The sequence below is a fragment of the Homo sapiens genome, chromosome 17 (assembly GCF_000001405.40).
Source record: "Homo sapiens chromosome 17, GRCh38.p14 Primary Assembly".
NCBI classification, from domain to species: Eukaryota; Metazoa; Chordata; class Mammalia; order Primates; family Hominidae; genus Homo; species Homo sapiens.
This window is the reverse complement of record NC_000017.11, coordinates 71,288,545-71,309,662: the sequence shown is the minus strand read 5'-3', so window position 1 is coordinate 71,309,662 and position 21,118 is coordinate 71,288,545. Positions and strand designations below refer to the sequence as shown.

At 38.4% G+C, this 21,118-nt stretch overlaps 1 pseudogene, besides 3 other annotated features; it reads left to right on the top strand.

Annotated features, from left to right (window-relative positions):
* Positions 4,583-5,083: an enhancer, noted in NCBI's record as "H3K27ac hESC enhancer chr17:69300721-69301221 (GRCh37/hg19 assembly coordinates)". NCBI's record gives its function as "activates a minimal SCP1, AML or CMV promoter by ChIP-STARR-seq in primed H9 embryonic stem cells {active_cell/tissue: H9 hESC(primed)}" and the evidence as "EXISTENCE:reporter gene assay evidence [ECO:0000049][PMID:30033119]".
* Positions 5,084-5,584: an enhancer, noted in NCBI's record as "H3K27ac hESC enhancer chr17:69300220-69300720 (GRCh37/hg19 assembly coordinates)". NCBI's record gives its function as "activates a minimal SCP1, AML or CMV promoter by ChIP-STARR-seq in primed H9 embryonic stem cells {active_cell/tissue: H9 hESC(primed)}" and the evidence as "EXISTENCE:reporter gene assay evidence [ECO:0000049][PMID:30033119]".
* Positions 7,897-8,397: an enhancer, noted in NCBI's record as "H3K27ac hESC enhancer chr17:69297407-69297907 (GRCh37/hg19 assembly coordinates)". NCBI's record gives its function as "activates a minimal SCP1, AML or CMV promoter by ChIP-STARR-seq in naive H9 embryonic stem cells {active_cell/tissue: H9 hESC(naive)}" and the evidence as "EXISTENCE:reporter gene assay evidence [ECO:0000049][PMID:30033119]".
* On the top strand, positions 11,445-11,507 carry RNU7-155P (RNA, U7 small nuclear 155 pseudogene; annotated as a pseudogene).

Genomic DNA, 21,118 nt, shown 5'->3' with positions numbered 1-21,118 from the left:
TGTTGAATTGAGTGTCCATTCCCTGTTTCGTTTTCATTTGCTTTGTCAAAGATTAGTTACCTGTAAGTATTTGGCTTTATCTCTGGGTTTTCTCTTCTGTTTCATTGGTCTGTGTGCCTATTTTTATACCATACTCTTTTTGGTAACTATGGTCTTATAGTATAGTATGAAGTTGGGTAATGCGATGCCTCCAGATTTGTTCTTTTTCCTTAGTCTTGGCTATGTGGGCTCTTTTTGGTTCCATATGAATATTAGGATTGTTTTTTCTAGTTCTGTGAAGAATGATGGCAGTATTTTGACAGGAATTGCATTGAGTTTGTAGATTGCTTTTGGCAGTATGGTCATTTTTACAATATTGATTCTACCTATCCATGAGCATGGGATGTGTTTCCATTTGTTTGTGTCACCTATGATTTCTTTCAGGTGTGTTTTGTAGTTTTCCTTATAGAGGTCTTTCATGTCCTTGGTTAGGTATATTCCCAAGTATTTTATTTTATTTTATTTTATTTTATTTTATTTACAGATATTGTGAAAGGGGTTGAGTTCTTAATTTGATTCTCAGCTTGGTCGCTGTTGGTGTGTAGCAGAGCTACTTATTTGTGTGCATTAATTTTGTATCTGGAAACTTTGCTGAATTCATTTGCCAGCTCTAGGAGCTTTATGGATAAGTCTTTAGGATTTTCTAGGTATTCAATCATATCAGCAATCAGAGACAGTTTGACTTCCTCTTTACCAATTTGGATGCCCTTTTATTTCTTCCTCTTGTCTGATTGCGCTGGTTAGGACTTCCAGTACTATGTTGAATAGAAGTGGTGAAATGGGCTTCCTTGTCTCGTTCCAGTTCTCAGGGCGTATGCTTTCAACTTTTCCCCATTCAGTATAATATGTTGGCTGTGGGTTTGTCATGGATGGCTTTTATTACCTTAATAAATGCTGATTTTGCCGAGAGTTTTAATCATAAAGGGATGTTGGATTTTGTCAAATGCTTTTTCTGCATCTATTGAGATGATCATGTGATTTTTTTTGTTTTTAATTCTGTTTATGTGCTCTGTCACATTTATTGACTTTATCCCTGCATCCCTGATATGAAACCCACTTGATCATAGTGGATTATCTTTTTGATATGCTATTGGGTTTGGTTTGCTAGTATTTTGTTGAGGATTTTTGCATCTGTGTTCATCAGGGATATTGGTCTGTCATTTTCTTTTTTGTTGTTGTTGTCATGTCCTTCCCTGGTTGTGATATTAGGCTGATACTGGCTTCATAGAATGATTTAGGGGGGAATTCCCTCTTTCTCCATCTTTTGGAATAGTGTCAGTAGGATTGGTACCAATTCGTCTTTGAATGTCTGATATAATTCAGCTGCGAATCCATCTGGTCCTGGACTTTTTTTCATTGGCAATTTTTTTTTTTTTGAGATGGAATTTTGCTTTTGTTGCACAGGCTGGAGTGCAATGATGTCATCTCAGCTCACTGCAACCTCCACCTCCCGGGTTCAAGTGATTCTGCTGCTTCAGTCTCCCAGGTAGCTAGGATTACAGGTGTCTGCCACCACCCCCAGCTAATTTTTTGTATTTTTAGTAGAGACAAGGTTTCACCATGTTGGTTGGGCTGGTCTCGAACTCCTGACCTCAGGTGATCCACCTGCTTAGCCTCCCGAAGTGCTGGGATTACAGCTGTGAGCCACCATGCCTGGCCTTGTTGGCAATTTCTAAATTACCATTTCAATCTCACTGCTTGTTATTGGTCTGTTCAGAGATTCTATATCTTCCTGGTTTAATCTAGGAGGGTTGCATATTTCCAGGAATTTATCCATCTCCTCTAGGTTTTCTAGTTTATGCATGTAAAGGTGTTCATAGTAGCCTTGAATAATCTTTTGTATTTCTGTGGTATCTCTTATAATATCTCCCATTTCGTTTGAGAGAGCTTATTTGGATCTTTCCTCTTGGTTAATCTCGCTAATGATCTATCAATTTTATTTATCTTTTCAAAGAACCAGCTTTTTGTTTCATTTATCTTTTGTGGTTTTTTGTTTGTTTGTTTGTTTCAATTTCATTTAGTTCTGGTCTAATCTTTGTTATTTCTTTTCTTCTGCTGAGTTTGGGTTTGGATTTTTCTTATTTCTTCAGTTCCATGAGGTGTGACCTTAGATTGTGTATTTGTGCTCTTTCAGACTTTTTGATGTAGGCATTTAATGCTATGAACTTTCATCTTAGCACTGCTTTTGCTGTATCCCAGAGGTTTTGATAGATTGTGTCACTATTATTGTTCATTTCAAAGAATTTTTAAATTTCCATCTTGCCTTCATTGTTGACCCAATGATCATTCAGGAGCAGGTTATTTAATTTCCATGTATTTGCATGGTTTTGAGGGTTCCTTTTGGAGTTGATTTCTAATTTTATTCCACTGTAGCCTGAGAGAGTACTTGATATAATTTTGATTTTCTTAAATTTACTGCGACTTGTTTTGTGGTCTATCGTATGGTCTATTTTGGAGACTATTCCATGTGCTGGTGTAATAGAATGTACATTCTGCAGTTGTTGGGTAGAATGTTCTGTAAATGTCTGTTAAGTCCATTTGTTGTAGGGGACAGTTGAAGTCCATTGTTTCTTTATTGACTTTCTGTTTTGATGACCTGTCCAGTGACATCACTGGAGTACTAAAGTCCCCCACTAATATTGCGTTGCCGTCTATCTCATTTCCTAGGTTTAGTAGTAATTTTTTATAAATTTGGGAACTCCAGTGTTAGGTGAATATACATTTAGAATTGTGATATTTACTGTCGGACTAGTCTTTTTATCATTATACAATGTCCCTCTTTGTCTTTTTAAATTGCTGTTGCTTTACAGTTTGTTTTGTCTGATATAAGAATAGCTACTCCTGTTCACTTTTGGTGTCTGTTCACATGGAATATGTTTTTCCACCCCTTTACCTTAAGTTTATGTGAGTCCTTATATGTTAGGTGAGTGTCCTGAAGATAGCAGAAACTTGGTGAATTTTTATCCAACCAATGAATTTCTCAGGTGCTCTTTAAACTTCTTATATTTGGATGTCTAGATTTCTGGCAAGGCCAAGGAAGTTTTCCTCAATTATTCCCTCAAATATGTTTTCCAAATATGTTTGCTGCCATTCTGTATCTTCTAAGTGGAACATTTAGGCCACTTACATTCAATGTTAGTATTGAGGTGCAAAGAGTACTATTCTATTCATTGTGTTATTTGTTGCCTGAATACCCTTTTTTTAAATTGTGTTTTTGTTATATAGGTCCCGTGAGATTTATGCTTTAAGGTTCTATTTTTTTATTGTGTTATTGTTATATAGGTCCTGTGAGATTTATGCTTTAAGGTTCTATTTTATTGTATGTTGAGGATTTGTTTCAAGATTTAGAGCTCCTTTTATTAGTTCTTGCAGTGCTTGTTGGTAGCAGCAAATTCTCTCAGCATTTATATGTCTGAAAAAGACTATCCTTCCTTCATTTATGAAGCTTAGTGTTGCTGGATACAAAATTCTTGGCTGATCATTGTTTTGCTTAAAGAGGCTAAAAATAGGACCCCAATCTCTTCTAGCTTGTAGGGTTTCTGCTGAGAAATCTACTGTTAATATGACAGATTTTCCTTGATAGGTTACCTTATGCTTTTGCCTCACAGCTGTTAAGATTCTTTCCCTCATCTTGACTTTAGATAATCTGATGACTATATGCCTAGGTAATGATCTTTTTGCAATGAATTTCTCAGGTGTTCTTTGAGCTTCTTCTATTTGGATGTCTAGCTCTCCAGTAAGGCTGGAGAAATTTTTCTCATTTATTCCCTCAAACAGGTTTTCCAAACTTTTAGATTTCTCCGCTTCTTCAGGAACACCAGTCCCAAACTTCTTGAAGGTTTTGTTCATTTTTTAGAATTCTTTTTTCTTTGTCTTTGGCAAATTGGGTTAATTGGAAAGCCTTGTCTTTGAGCGCTGAGGTTCTTTCTTCTACTTGTTCGATTCTATTGCTGAGACTTTCCAGTGCATTTTACATTTCCCTAAGTATGTCCTTGATTTCCAGACGTTGTGGTTGTTTTTTATTTATACTACCTATTTCACTGAAGCATTTTCCTTTCATATTCTGTATCATGTTTTTGATTTCTTTAAGTTGCACTTCATCTTTCTCTAGTGCCTCCTTGATTAGCTTACTAATCGACTTTCTGAATTCTTTTTCTGGCAATCCAGAGATTTCTTCTTGGTTTGGATGCATTGCTGGTGAGCTGGTATGATCTTTTGGGAGTGTTGAAGAACCTTGTTTTGTCATATTGCCAGAATTGTTTTTCTGGTTCCTTCTCATTTGGGTAGACTATGTTAGAGGGAAGATCTGGGATTCAAGGGCTGCTGTTCAGATTCTTTTGTCCTATGGGGTGCTCCTTTGATGTGGTGTTCTCCCCCTTCCCCCAGGAATGGGGTTTCTTGAGAGCCGGACTGTAGTAATTGTTTTTGCTCTTCTGGGTCTTACCACCCACTGGAGCTACCAGACTCCGTGCTGGTACTGGGGAGTGTCTGCAAAGAGTCTTGTTATGTGATCCATCTTCAGGTCTTTCAGCCATGGATACCAGCACCTCCTCTGGTGGAGGTAGGAGGGGAGTGAAGTGGACTGTGTGAGGGTCCTTGGTTGTGTTTCTGTTCAGTGTGCTGGTTTTGTGTTGGTTGGTCTCCAACCAGGAGGTGGCGCTTTCAAGAATGCATCAGCCGTGGTCCTATAGGTAGGATGTAAACTTGCCCTATGGCCACCTGGTTAAGTATTCAGGTTTCTCAGGTGGTAGGCAGGGCCATAGAACTCTTTTGTCTTCAGCTATGGGGTAGAGGTGGGGGGAGGCGGATAAAGGTGGAAGAGAAAGACCACCAGATAGGGGCAGACATAAGCATGGCTGAGCTCAGCCTCTCCTTGGGCAGAGCTTGCTGTGGCTGCTGTGGGGGATGGGTTCTCAGTCCAATGGAGTTGTATTCCCAGGGGGATTATGGCTGCCTCTGCTGAGTCATACAGGTTTCCAGGGAAGTGTGGAAAAGCTAGCAGTCACAGGCCTCACCCCACTCCCTTGGTCCTAAAGGCTGGTCTCACTCCCACCGTGCCCCTGCAACAGCACCAAGTCTGTTTCCAGGCAGCCAGTGACCAGGGCTGAGAACTTGCCCAGACCATGAGCCTCCCCTTCGTGAAAGCAGGCAGACTCAGTTTTTCGGTATCTCAGGGAGCCTGCAGCGATGATCCAGTTCTTCAAAGGTTTTGTGGATTCTCTTGGCTTCCCTCATTTTTCCTCTAGTAGTTCTTGGAGCAAAAGTTCACGGTGTGAGTCTCCACACATTGCTCTGTCTGTCTGAGCAGGAGCTGCAAGCTAGTTCTGCCTCCTATCCACCATCATCTTCTCTGTATCATTTCAATTTTAGTATATGTGCTGCTGAAGCAAGCAGGAGGAAATATTTTTAGTATATGAATTCAAAGAAGAAATAGCCAGAATTTATAGATTTAAAAAGCCCCATTACTCAATAATAATAAAAGATAAACAACCCAATTAAAAATATAGACTGGGCGTGGTGGCTTATGCCTGTAATCCCAGCACTTCGGGAGGCTGAGGCGGGTAGATCGCTTGAAGTCAGGAGTTTGAGACCAGCATGGCCAACATGGAGAAACCCATCTCTACTAAAAATACAAAAATTAGTCTGGCGTGGTGGCATGTGCCTGTAGTCACAGCTACTCGGGAGGCTGAGGCAGGAGAATCGCTTGAATCTGGGAGGCAGAGGTTGCTGTGAGCCAAGATTGTGCCGCTGCGCTCCAGCCTGGGTGACAGAGTGAGACCCTGTCTCAAAAAAAAAAAAAAATACATATATATATATATATATATATATATATATATATATATATATACATATACACACACACACACACACATATGTATGTACAGGCAAAAGTTTGAACAAGTCCTTCACACTGAAGATATCCAATAGCCCAAAGCATATCAAAAGCATTATTAAGAAAATGCAAATTAAAACCACACTGAGCTACCACTGCACACCCATCAGCATGATCATTTATAACTCAGGAAAAATATTTGCATATGTATTTTCTATTGTATAAAAAAAGACATTATGCAACTGAAAACAATACATTTATTATCTCATAATTTCTGTGTGGCAGGAGTTTGAACATAGTTTAGCTGGATTTTCTGCTTTAGGATCTCTTACAATGCTGTAGTCAATATTTCAGCCAGGGCTGGAATGCTCTCTGAAAGCTGATGTGGAAGGGACCTGCCTTTAAGCTCACATGGTATTTGGCAGAATCGAGTTTCTCTAGGCATGCTGGGTTATGAGCTTCAGTCACCGTTAATTCCTTGCATGTTGACCTCTCCAGCACAGCAGCTTGCTTCATGAAGTATGCAGGCCAACAAGAAAATAGAGCCTATTAGCAAGATGTAAGTTACAACTTTATGTCACCTAAACATGGTGGTAGTGACATCTCATCCCTTTTTCCCACCATTGATTAGAAACGAGTCATAGTCTCACTGGCACTTAAGGGAAGGGGATAGATTGCCCAAGGGTATGAGTACAAGAGGGCGAGGATTGTTACGAATCATCTTAGGAACTGCCTACGGCCACAAGGTTTGACAAAGGACTCATATCTAGAATAGTAATGAACTTCTGCACTCAATACAGCTCAATTAAAATATAGAAAAAAGACTGGGAAGGGATTTCTCAAAGAAGATATCTCATAGTCAATAAGCATATGAAGAAATGTTCTACATCATTAGTCATTAAGGAAATTCAAATGAAAACCACAAAGAGGTTCTACTACACACCCACCAGAATGGCTAAATTTAAGCGGCTGACAATACCGACTATTGTCAAAGAAGTAGAGTGACTAGATCTCTCCTTCTAGCTCGTGGGAAAGTAAAATGGCCCAACCACATTGGAAAACACTTTGGCAATTTCTAATAAAGTTAAACACACACCTACCCTTGACCCAACAGTTCCATTCATAGGTATTTCTTCTTTAAGAGAAATGAATACTGTACTTGTGTTCACATACATACACACACACAAACACATACACACACACCTGAGTTATTATAACTACAAACTAGAAAATGCCAAATGTCCATCAATAGGAGAATATAATTTAAAAAATAGTATATTTATATGAAACACTACACAGCAATTTTTAAGAAGAATAGGCTACTGAGAAATACAACAAGAATGAATTTCAAAAACAGTATACTGAGCAAAAGAAGCCAGAAACAAACAAAATTCATACTGAATAATTTCATTTTTATGAAATTCAACAGCAAAATATTTTATATATGGTGATGGAAATCAGAAAAGTTGTTATTTCTAGGAGGGTTTGAGAGAGGGTTTTTGATTCAGAAGGAGCACATGGAAATTTTCTGGGTGTGATGGAAATAAATGTTCTGTATATTCATCTGGGTAGTAGTTGTGCAGATGTATGCATAGGTAAATAGTCACTTAAGATGTGTGCATTTTCCTGTAAGTATATTTTAGCTCAAAGATTAAAACAGATTTGGAAACATACTTTGACGTGCTTTCAAATCACCTGGAGATCTGGTTAAAATGCACATTCTGATGTAGTAGGCCTGGAATAGGCTTGAGATTTTGCATTATTAACCAGATGCCAGGTGATATTGATGCTTCTGGTAATGCTGGCTCTGTTCGTAGCTAGGTCCTGAAATCTATCTGTCACTGTTTCAGCTACAATTGCTGCATAGCAAACAACCCATACTCAGTGGTGTAAAATAACTATTGTATTATGCTAAAGATTTTGTGGGTCAGCGAATTGAACAGGGCACAACAGGGATGATCTGTCTTTTCTTTGAGGTGCCACAGTATCTAAAGCCTCAGCTGGGAAGAGTCAAATCCTGGTACCTGAAAGCTGGGGCTGGGATCACTTAAATGTGTCTTCCTCACTCACCTGGCTGGCACCTGGGCTGGGAGCATGTGAGTGTTAGAACAACTCCCTGGGGTGACCACAGGAGGCCTTTCTATGGCCTTAGCTCTCTCATTTGAAGGCTCGGGAGTCTAAACGTGAATACTCTGAACAAATTTTTAAAGAAAGAAAGAGAGAAAGAGAGAGAGAAAGGGAGGGAGGGAGGGAAGGGAGAAAAGAAAGGGGGAAGGAAGAAAGGAAGGAAAGGAAAGAAGGAAGGGAGGAAGAAAGGAAGGAGGGAGGAAACAGAAAGAAAGAAAGAAGAAGGGAAGGATGAAAGGAAGGAAGAAAAGAGAGAGGAAAGAGAGAGAAAGAGAAGAAAGGAGGAAAGGAGAGAAAGAAGAAAGGAAGGAAGAAAGGAAAGAGAAGAAAGAGAAAGGAAAGGAGGTAAGGATGGAAACAAGGAAGGAAGAAAAAGAGGAGAGAGAAAGAGAAGGAAGAAGAGAAGGAAGGAAAGAGGAAGAGAAAAAGAGGAGAAATGGAAGGAAGGAAGAAAGGGAGGAAGGGAGGGAAGGAGGGGAAAGAAAGAAAGAGAGAGAAAGAAAGAAAGAAAGGAAGAAAGAAAGAGAGAGAGAGAAAGAAAGAAAGGAAGGAAGAAAGAAAGAAAGAAAGAGAAAGTAAGTTGCATTGCCTTTTCTGACCTAGCCTTGACAATCACTGAAAGTCACAAACTTCCCCAGATTTGAGTGAGAGGACACAGATTTTACTTTCCAGTGAGAGACATGTCAGGGACACATTGCAGAAAAATATGTGGGATAAGAAACATTTTTATGGCCCTACTTGGAAAATACAACTTTCCACCTCCACAGAGCCTTAACATAAGTCTGATCATGTTATGTATCTTCTCAAAATCCTGGACTGCCTTCCTATTTCACTCAATAAATCCCCAAACCTTTCCCAAAGCCTGTAAAGATCCAAATGATTGGGCTGGGGCTGCTTCTGTGTCTTTTGCCTGTTCTGATGTCACTTATCAGAGTATTTCCTAAGCACTCAATGTAAAATAGATGCTCTGTCCCTCTGTCATCAGTGCCTCATGTGTTTTTCCTTTTGTTATTTGTGTGTTTATTTTTTCCCCAGTTAGAAAGTAAGCTTCAGGAGAATGGCAAACTTTTTTTCTTGCTTGTTGTTGTATTAGAATGAAGAACCATGCCTAGAATACAATAAGTACTCAATACATTTGTCCAGTGAATGAATGAATGGTGCTATTTATTGGTATAGCAATCCTAGTTACTAATCTGTTGACTTCTACTTATGATAAATGAGATTAAGATTTCTGTTTCTCCATCCTCCCAACAGACACTTTTCTTCTCCCATTCTCTTAATGTATTCATATAACAACTTATTATTGTTGTTATTACATGCTTCTGATGTGTTATTTTCAACTTGAGGTTAGATCAGAATTGACTGCAAGGCTTGTTAAAATTCAAAACTGCTAGGCTCTACCCAGAGAGTTTTTGATTGGGTAGTTCCGGGGTGAGCCTGAGAATTTTCATTTTAATGAGTTCCCAGGTGATGATGCTGATGAAAACTATTTGTAATGTTAAAATAATATAAACACTCAAACCTAATGTAAATACTGACATTGACACTGAGCTTTTGGCATTTTTGTTTTTGTTGTTTTTGTTCCCTGATTTTCATATTGATTTGTTTTGTTTTGGCCTCTGAGTTTCATCTTGGAAGCTTTATTCAGAAGCTTGGTGATTCCTGGGTGTACATATATAATTAGGACTGAGGCACTAGATAACATATGGAAAAGTCTGTGTGTTTGGTGTTTTTCTGTATAGTGATTGGGTGTCATCTTGGATTAAGTTCTCCAAAAGCAAGTGCTAAGGGAGAATTCTTATGGAAGTGATCTATTAAGCAAACACCCTTGTGATATTGTTAAGAGTGGGATTAGCATGGCGGACAAGAGGAAGAAGGCAAGGAAGAGTAAGATTCCAGGCAAAATCCCAACTCCAGTCCAAAGCTACAGGGAAACTGTAGGGTAGGGTATATGAGCTAGGCTCTCACACACCCTCTTGAGTCAGTCACTGGTTAAGTGTCATCTGAGGAGAAGGATAACTCTCAGACATCTTTAGTTCTCTCTTTGGCATACAGGACAAAGAGGCTCCAGTAGGAAAAGTGCCCTTCAAATAGAGTCCCAGGTGCGAGCTCTTAGAAGCAAAAGCACACAAAGGCTTGGGGACAGGTTCCCTGATATGATAAAGGGAACTTGAAAGACCTGCAGATGGTGGGGTTGGTAGAGGGACACCAAAAATGTTGGCTGCAGAGGTGCTGGGAGGTTTTCTTTGGGGAGTTCTGTAGGAATTTTGTCTGGGTGACAGTGGGGCTATTGGACAGGGGCACATGTTTTGCAGGTCACAGTGCAGACTTCCCCTTAGTCCTACTGTCGTCTATTGTGTCCAGAGTCGTAGAGTGTAGAGACTCATTGGTTCAATTTTTCCGCCAAATAAATCTCTTATCTCCTGCTGGGCATTGCCTGGGTTTAGTGGCTTTAGTCAGAATTCAGCAGTTCAATAACTCAGTGGTTTTGAGGAGATAATAAGAAAACCTCTCCAACTCCCGAGGGTATTGAGGGGATGAGGAAAAAAAAAAACAACAAAAAAAAACTGGTATTAGTGAGAGCCCTGGCGTAGATCATCTTTGACTCACCCAGCAGGGCAAAAGGCCTGTGTGTTAAGCGAAACAAGCTTAACAAAAACCAAGGCTCGAAAGTGAGGAAATCCTAATCCACTGCTTCATCCAGTTGTGACATGAACCTGGACCTGAACTTTTCCAGCCATAGTCACCCTATTTTTTTTTAACCTGAAAATCTATTTCAGGGCCACAAAAGGTCAACTTAGGTGCCAATCATATTTAGAGATTCTACTGTGGTATATGAAGAATAAATCAGGAACTTAATCAATGATGGTTATATTTTTAGTCTGACCATGTTAAAGATTGAAAACATAACTATTTCCTACACAGGAAGGTTATTACTCAGATTCTTCTATGAGATGTAAAGCTCTGATTGTCTTTGAAGGTTTATTTTCTTAACTTGACATTATTGACTTCTTATATGAAAAAGCCACTTATCCCAATATCTGGAAATTCTACTAGTTGATATTATTATTCCTTAAAATTGTTAACATAATTTGTTCATTTAACAAAAGGATCTAATGGGCTTGAATTTGAACAAAAGATATGTATTAGACAAATTAACATTATTGATATAGCAGTTTGCCATATTGAAAAGTATGAAGATTTGAATCAAAGTTACCAGCTATAAAATTTGGACAATTGTGTACAAAATAGAAATAACAATACCTAGCTTACAATACAGTTGAACAAGACGGTATCTGTAAAGCATGACGTGTATATAGTGCATAGCATGTTAACAAGTTTCAGTTCCCTCCTCTCCATTCGCCTCAAATCTATCAGGAGCGCTAATCTCTAACCATCTCTATGCTCTGACACAAAGTTCCCTGTGAAAAACATTATACAAAGTATTTGACAACAGCTCTGTTAGAATTTGTCTAGCAAGTTTTCTAGCCTGTACCTGAAAGCCTCAATTAAAAAAGGAACAAAGTATTTAATTACCTCATAGTTCTATAAGAAATTAGGTATCATTAAATATTATATAATATTCATAGCTGTTTTTATCCTTTTGTGTAATCCCAGCAATTGGGATAAGTATAGTGCAGTCAATACAACTACAAGAACACTTAACAGGGTTTAAATATTAACTTCGACATTTTAGGAAATAGTTACTAATATAAGATAAATTTTCTTTTAAAAATTAGACCACATTTAATAATGAGGATGTGATCATCCTATTTTGGGGGGAATTTATGAAAAAGAAAATGATGAAATTGGCCTTTTCTGGTTATGTTTGTTGCTTTACATTGTCTTTCCTCTCTGCGACCTCCGTGCTCTACAGCGCTGGGAAAGCTAGGGAGAACCAGGCAGCCGGGAGGACGGAACCAACTTCCCACTCTTAGGAATCACCCTCCCCATCTGTGGGGACTCAAAGTAAAAGAAAAATGAAAACTCCAGGATCAACAGCAAGTCATCACTCAGCAATCCTAAGGGAGTTTTCACAGCATGAGAGGGAAGGAAGGGATAGTAGCCAAAATAGCCAGTGAGTGATGATGAAGAACAAAGGGAGGGTCAAGGGATTACTGACCTCAAATAGAGAGTTGGTTGAATGAAGAAAGGGCACAATTCAGAGGTTAAGATGTCTGACAGTAGAACTGCTAGTTGTCCCATGCATTACTACTTTTTTAAAAATAATATTTTTTCTTGATAACAAAAGTATGAAAGGTTTTATTACAAAATATAAAACAATGCAATAAAAAAATACAGAATGCAACCATCATTGCCACCCCGCATTTTGTATACTTCTTGCCCTTGTATTTTCTATCAGCCAGATAGGAAACAGGAAGACAGGCAGGAAACAGAAGACCTGCTTATGTTAGGAAAAACAAAAATGAAAACATGAGATGGTTTGCTTTCAAAGGAACTCATTGCAAAGGTGTAGCTGAATGTAAGGGATCCAGAAGTGGAAGGGCTGTCAGCCAAAGAGATGAGGGGAAGGTTATAGGAAGCTAGAAAGCATCATATGGAACAGGATGCTTTGTGGGAGCATTACGCCCTCTGACTTTCAGAGACACAGCCAGCATAAGACACCCTCTCATGGGGAGAGAATCAGGATTATAAATACCTTGACCTCTCATTTATCTTTCCCCAGTTTTCTATGGGGCCTGTGCATTGACGGAACTCAACAGTAAGCCAGAGGACATGGAAACCCATTAAGGTTAACCTGTGAGTTTGAGGGAGTCTCCAAGACCACCTTCCATTCAAAAAAAATTGCTAAAAGTACTCACAGACTGCAGTAAAACTGTAATACTCATGGTTATGGTTTATTACACTAAAGGATGCAGGTCAAAATTAGCAAAGGGAAGAGGCACAGAGGCACATAGAACAAAGTTGAGAAGGGGCCTGGGGTAGAGATTCCAGATGTCCTCTCCTAGTGGAGTCATGTAGATGGCATTAACTACTCCTAGCAATGACATGTGACAATATGCAGATAAATTGCCAATGAAGAAAGCTCACTTGAGCGTTGGTGTCCAGAGTTTATATTAAGAATTGGCCACTTTTATATATATGACTGTTGTGTGGTTGAACTCAGTCACTAGTGACTCCAGACGTTGAGCTGTTACTGTGGCCCACCCTATAACACTATTGCCATAAAGACTCTGGCATGTCCCTATCACCCCCAGGTAAACAAAGGCATTCTTATCAGGGAGGACATTCCAAGTGCTTAGAGATGACCTCCCAAGAGTTAGGAGGAAAGGGACAAATCTTTCTTTGCACTGAGTTAAATCTTTACTGCACACACTAATATAATTCAGCAAGACTGGCTGCCTACCTAAGTTATAGCGCCCAGTGCAAATAAAAAATTACAGCACCTATTCAAAAATTATTACAATTTCAGGAAGGTGATAAGAGAGTGTTAAACCAAGAGTGAGAACCTTCTGAGCATGGGGACATGTGAACAACTGCACAGTTTATATGCTCAGGGAACCAGCCTTGCAGGTCAGCATCTGCTGTGGTTTGGATATGTTTTGTTTGACCCTGCCAAGTCTTATGTTGAAATGTTATCCCCAGTGTCAGAGGTGGGGTCCTGGTGGGAGGTGTATGGGTCATGGAAGCAGATCCCTCGTGAATGGCTTGGTGCCAGTCTCATGGGAATGAGTGAGTTTTCACTCTTAGTTCCTGTAAGAACTGGTTGTTTAAAAGAGCCAGGCACCTCCTCCTCTCTCTCACTTCCTCTCTGTCGCCATGTGATCTCTGCACATGCTTGCTCCCATTCACTTCTGCCATGAGTGGAAGCAGCTTGAGGGCCTCCCGAGAAGCACCATGATTCTTGCACAGCCTGCAGAACTGTGAGAAACATACATCTCTTTTCTTTACAAATTACTCAGTTTCAGGTATTCCTTTATAGCAATACAAATAAACTAAGACAAGCTCCATCAGGCAGAGACCAGTGAGGCAGAGAATGGAAAAGTTATATGGGGAGTAGGACAAATGGAAGCTATCTTACTCACCTAGATGATACATACACGTGGTTTTTGAATTTTTTCTACTATGGAACTTTAAATATAAACAAAATAGAACAATAGACTTGGTGTGGTGGCTCATGCCTGTAATCCTAGCACTTTGGGAGGCTGAGGCAGAAGAATCACGAGCCCAGGACTTGGAGGCCATCCTGGGCAACATAGTGAGACCTTGTCTCTACAAAAAATTTAAAAATTGGCAAGGCGTAGTGGTGCACGCCTGTAGTCCCAGCTATTTGGGAGGCTGAGATGGGAGGATTGCATGAGTCTAGGAATTTGACACTGTAGTGAGCTATTATCATGCCACTTCACTCCAGCCTGGGTGACAGAGTAAGACTTTGCCAAAAAAAAAAAAAAAAAAAAAAAAAAAAGACTTAAAAAATAGAACAATAGTATACCCAATGTACCCATCATCTAGTTTATAAATTATCAACTCATCGTCAGTCCTTTATTCATCTGTACTTCTACCTACTTATTCACCTCATATTTCCAAACAAATCCCAGACTCTAGATTGTTTTAATCTATAAATATATGTCTTCCAATGTATCTTGTTAAAAGATAAGAACCATTTTGAAAACATGAGCAATCGCGTTCTGAAACCTAGAAAACAATAAAAAATATATATATTTTAACATAACCATAGATTTTGAGTATTTTTCATGAATTTGAAAACCATCTAAAACCTCATACTTAGGGACTGCATACTATTTCATTTATTTATTTATTTATTTGCATTTAAGCCACTTCCTTTAAAACCATATTTTAAATAATGCTAGGATAACATCTTTTGATTGCATCTAAGGTTACTTCCTTAGCATAAATATCTTGAATGGGAAATTGACTCAAGGGATATTGATACATATTTTAAAATTGCTTTCTGGAGACCTAAAGTTGCTTTTCAATTTAAGAAAAAATTTGGGTTAGTCTCTTTGTAGTTCCATTTATTTGCTAATTGGGCATATCTGCACTCATTTATTTGGTGCTAAGTGCTATAGGGGATTGCACAGCGTGAAGGAATACGCCCCTGCTTTTGAAACATTTATAATATATTAAGTTAGACAAACTACATCCACAAATAGCAGTATAGTTAGCAAATATTCTATGAACCTCCGGGAAGAAATAGGAAAGTATTCTAGGAATTTCGAGAGATTAAAAACCATTCCAGCTAGAATTATTAACATGGTTGTTGCAAGGGTCAAACATACACTATATATCAAAGCAGGTTGAAAAAATGAAAATATATTCACATGTGTTAGATCTATTTGGTAAACAGCTACATGAGTTTAGAATCCTTATTTTTTTTTTAACTTTCATCTGTTCAATTAATAGAAAAAAAGTAAAATACTCAAAGGAGCTTGCTGTTTTGCTTCCAAAGGGCAAGCCAGTGACCCAAACAAAAAACATATATGTTCAAGGAACAATAGAAATGGTATAAGGCTCTGTGATATGGTTTGGCACTGTGTCCCCACCCAAATCTCATCTGGAATTGTAATCCTAATGTGTCAAGGGAGGGACCTTGTCAGAGGTAATTGGATTTTCGGTGGGCGGTTTCTCCTATGCTCTTTTCATGATAGTGAGTTCTCCCAAGATCTGATGGTTTAAAAGTGGCACTTCCCCCTTCACTCTCTCTCTCCTGCCACCACGTAAAACGTGTCTTGTTTCCCTTCACCTTCTGCGATGATTGTAAGTTTCCTGAGGCCTCCCCAGCCATGGAGAACTGTGAGTCAATCAAACCTCTTTTCTTCATAAATTATCCAGTCTCAGGTAGTACCTTTATAGCAGTGTGAGAATGGACTAATACACTATGTCTGTCTGACTGCTCTTATCTACAAATTTAGCCCCAGAAGTTAAGCAAATATAAGCAAGCCAAATAATAATAAGCTATTTTCTGTTACAATGACATTATGTGTGTGTTTAACTGAATAGATCACTTCTCATAGTTGTTTGGGCATTTTTACCACCTTTTCAATTGCATACAAATTGATACTTATGGAAAAATACAGAATAACAGTGATGCAAGGCCAGTGAGTCCCAAAATTGGAGCTTACCCCAGGAGTGTTCTTGGCTTTGCCCAGGAAACAATTCAAGGACAAGCTGGTGGTGTTAGACAGCAGCTTTGATTGAAGCAGCAGAGCACAGCAGCAGTAGAGATCCTGCTCCTTGTGGAGCAGGGCTACCCCATAGACAGGGTGCCCAGAGTAGCAGCTCAGAGGTGGTACTGTAGTCATATTTGTACCCACTTTTAATTATGTGCAAATTAAGTGGCAGATTATCCAGAAATTTTTAAAAAACAGGTGGTAATTTCCGGGTGTTGCCATGGAAAGGGGTGGCAACCCCTAGGTCTTGCCATAGCAATGGTAAACTGTCATGGTGCTGATGGGCATGTCCTAGGGAGAGGTGTTTTCAGAGCCTCTTCCCTGTTTCAGCAAGTCTTCAATCTTGTCTTGAGTCAAGTCTGACCTCATACCTCAACACGTTGAGAATAAATAAAAAATTTCAGCTAGTAAAGTCTTAGGTGCATTTCTGCTCACAGAGAAAAATTCCAATACATATGAAGACTGATGATGTGAAATCTGTCTCATTTCTGATAACATTTACTGAAGAAAATTTGGTTCCCCAGGAATCTTTTAAGAGACCTCAATCACATCCTTTTCCTTCCAAATTCTTAGAAGATAATAATCAAATACTTCCCATAGCTAGAGAAGACAGACACAGCTCACAAGACATCATGGAGTTTAACAGTTGTTAATAAATAGTGATGGAGATAAATACTTAAACTTTTTCTTAAAGAAAATGGACAGATCCCACCAGAAGACTGAATTTATTCATTGGGAGGCAATTTTATATGCCACTGAATGTGGGAAAAGAAACCCTCCAACTGATTCAATCTACCAGTCTCTGGCTTGTTGTTTTATCTTATCCATATTTCTTTTTGTAAACAAAAATTCTCTTGATTTTTATATAGTTTTATTAAGACATAATTCATATGCTATACAATCCATCCATTCAAAGGACACAATTCAATAGTTTTTAGTATATTTGTAGAGCTGTGCAGTCATCCATATTACTTTTATGACTATTATTATCTCCACCTACAGGTTAATGAAGTTACTGTTGCCTCCACGATTTAAAAAAAATGCTTCTTCTAATAAATCAAAAATTCGCAGGCAATATAATACATAGGATTCCCTGGCATCGTGAAAAAGAGGTCACTGGACAGCAGAGCATTTTGACAAAACCATCTTGATATCCTTCAATTTAGCTGTTGTACTGCACTCATTGTTAGAGTAGCATTTTATTTTAAAGGATAACATTGCAACATCAAATTTTAACCTATTAACCTCTTACAATGACCTGGCAAGGGGACCATGGTAACACTACAATAGCAATCTGTTTATAATAATTTTATTTTTCTGAAATAAACATAAAAGGCAGCCAAAGCTCTATAGCCTCAGTTTCTTGAGAAGCCAACAGCTATGATGAAGCTATTTGATACTTCTGTTTGTTTTATTTTATAATGGGACTTTAATAGAATACGTGAGATAATCTTTATTGCCAGACTTTGCAAGAGTTTATATTAGTAGGATTGTGCTTATTTGTTTTTATTTGTTTCTGTTGTTTCATTTTAATCTCACTTGTATGAGAGCTTGTATGCTTGTGAGGCTGTGTGAGTCCATGTGCGTTTTTAAAGAAGTCATTTTAAGAGACTTGGGAAGTGACAGAAGAAGGTTAGTTATGGAATGAGTCCAAACAGCATGGAGGAAAGGTGAAAATAGTTTTGGTCTTTACCAGGAATAACAGCTACAATTTTTAAAAAATGCAACACTTGAATTTTACCTCCTTGAGAAAGGTATTTTAATCCTTAAACAACATTTTCCTCACATACTCACACATATTAAAAAATAGATCTCCATTTAAAAATATTATCTCTGATTTAACCAAAGTACAGCATATTAATGTTTTGTTATAAGTATCCAAATTAGTCCTAGGATAATTCTGAAAAATTTTCAAATGTGTTAATCCTTTATAAATTGCTAATACTTCGATCGTTTGTAAATTAAACAAAGTAAATTCACTTCTTAAACTAAACTTGATAGATCCATTATAAAGTTTCCTGTTGCATGACATATATATACACATGCACATATACATACATAATTTATAATATATGTAATTAAAACTCAATTTTATTTTAAAATTTAAATCAAATTAAAAAATTAAATTTTATATATATATATGTTTCCCAGTTGTTCTGAAAAGGAATCTATGTTTATCTATGAATAACCTAAGTGGAGTTGGAACATGTGCCAGAATCTCTAAATTCAATATGATGCTTGCTAGCATGGTAAACCTGCTTTTATAAAATGGTGCAGGCTTCTTAAATTCCGCACTTTCCTTACTTCTGCAAAATGATGTATTTCTCTTTATTACATATAGCAAATGAGCCCTAAAATGGAAGATGTGACTTCAAAGTTTGGATGTTAAAATGAACATTGCATAAATTGGCCTTATTTGATTTTTTGCCTCCTCCTTGAAACTACTTCCATGCCAGGCCTTTCCTCCTCCCTCATTGTGGTAGATTAATTGCATTAATGGTTGTAATCCACTGACCCTCTTTGTTTCTGTGTCCCTTGCCCAGTTCTGGTCAGGGGCTGGCCAGGTGACTTGCTTTGGTCAATTAGATGATTGGAGTCACATGAAGGCAAGCAGAAGCATGAAATGATGTGTACACATTTCCTCTTGTGTGCTTGCATGTCTTCCATTGACATAAAAAAGTGTTCCAAGCTAGAGGATGAGAGATCTATGTGATAGAGCCAGCTTGCCACAGCTGAGGCCATCACAGGTCGATCAGTAGTCAACTGACCCCCAGAAATTTGAAAGCTCAGTCAAAAATCAGCAGAGGCACCTAGATAACCAAACCAGTCTTGTGAGCAACAAACACTTACTGCTGTATCCTTCTGAGGTTTTGCGGATGCTAGTGATTGAGCAGTATCATGGCACTAGAACAATACTGACATTCTAACCTCAGGCACTGTTTCAAGAAATTGATTGTATTCGCAACTTACACAACTTGGCCAATACTTACCTTTGTGCAATCTGAGACTTTAGAAAAAGGTCTTTACCTCTCAGATCCTTAATTTCCTCATCTATAAAATAAAATAACTGAACCACATCAGCTTCATGGTCACTTGTACATCTGTATTATTTGATTGATTGATTTTAAAGGTGATGATTTATTTTAAATGTGCCTTTAGATGCCTTATGCAAAAGTAAATTTATAGTTCTATATTGCTGGCACATTCCTGAGCTATTTGGGGAATATTTTTTTCTCCACTGAAACTTACTTACACAGAGCTTCCCAACCCCAATGCCCATCATACACTCCCACCACTGTAGACAGAGAGGCAGTATTAGTGGTGGTTAATCTTGCTTCCTCTAGAGCAAAACATCCTTTCTTCATTGCCCAGCTTAGAGCTGTGTAAACTTGGGCAAGTCACATCGGGTCTCACTGTCTTCATCAGGGAGTGCTGGTACTTACCTCAGTGGTTTGCTTTAAAAAAGTGAATGAGCTCATCTGTTTTATTTAATACATGCATTAAGAATTTATAATGGTGCCTGGAACACCTAATATAATTACAATTTAGCTATTGGAATAGCGATCCTTCCAATTCCCATGGCTTAAAGATTTTGCTTAGGAACTAAAATAGTTTCATGTCTGAGTAGGAAGTGTGCATTTTTTCATAGGACCACATTTAGGGGAGCGTGATCAAGATTGGAGGCCTGTGTTCACCAGGAATGATACTGTGAGGCATAAATAAATCACACACTATTATTACCCACTTTGAGAGCTACCATAGCAGATTTTAAAAGAGCCACCGTCAAATCTCTCCTATGTCAGAAGGAGGCAGCCTGACATAGTTCAAAGAACAAAGAAAACCAGAAGTTGAAAGATCTAGGTTTTATTTCTAGTTATACATTTATTTCTGTTTAGTTAGATATTGCTAGTTATACCCCTTACTGATTTGCAATGGACTCTGATGTGCCTTTGCACAAATCACTGAATCTCATCGAATTGCTGTTTTATCATCTATAAAAATGGAAATAAGTAAGCTGTTGTAAAAGTCCCATTGAGATATCGATAATATGCTTCTCCAGTCTGCCAGCCCTGTGCTCCTTAAACCCAGTGGCCTTGGAATTATTAGAGTGCCTTGTAAAAATACAGCTTCCACCAGAGTCGAATTTAGTCTCTCTATATTGTAGAGTCAGTAAACCTGCATTTTTAACAAGATGATTAGAATGTGGTTTATGGAACGCACTTTGAGACTCACTTTGCTGCTTCCCTTCTTTGCTAATTGGAAATATGAATGACATCTGCCATTCTTTGTATGACATGGTAATGTGCCGATCCAAAAGATGATGGCTGAGAAAGAGGCACTTTGAGGGCAGTAAAGCCCTGAAACATTCATTACCCTTCTTGCTAAATAAATGCTAAATGCCCCCAGGCTCCCCGGGTCATGTAGAATGCTGACTCCTTAAGCAATAGGGCTTCAGGATGTCTCTAAGCAGAGTTTGTGAGCTGATGAATGGATTCATATATTGATCTCAGGAGGCTACATGGGAATGAGACTAAAGGTGGCACCAGGCTGTCTAAAAGAACACACTTTTCTATCATTGTTGGACATTTGGGTTGGTTCCAAGTCTTTGCTATTGTGAATAATGCTGCAATAAACATACGTGTGCATGTGTCTTTATAGCAGCATGATTTATAGTCCTTTGGGTATATACCCAGTAATGGGATGGCTGGGTCAAATGGTATTTCTAGTTCTAGATCCCTGAGGAATCGCCACAATGATAAACTGGATTAAGAAAATGTGGCACATATACACCATGGAATACTATGCAGCCATAAAAAATGATGAGTTCATGTCCTTTGTAGGGACATGGATGAAATTGGAAAGCATCATTCTCAGTAAACTATCACAAGAACAAAAAACCAAACACCGCATATTCTCACTCATAGGTGGGAATTGAACAATGAGATCACATGGACACAGGAAAGGG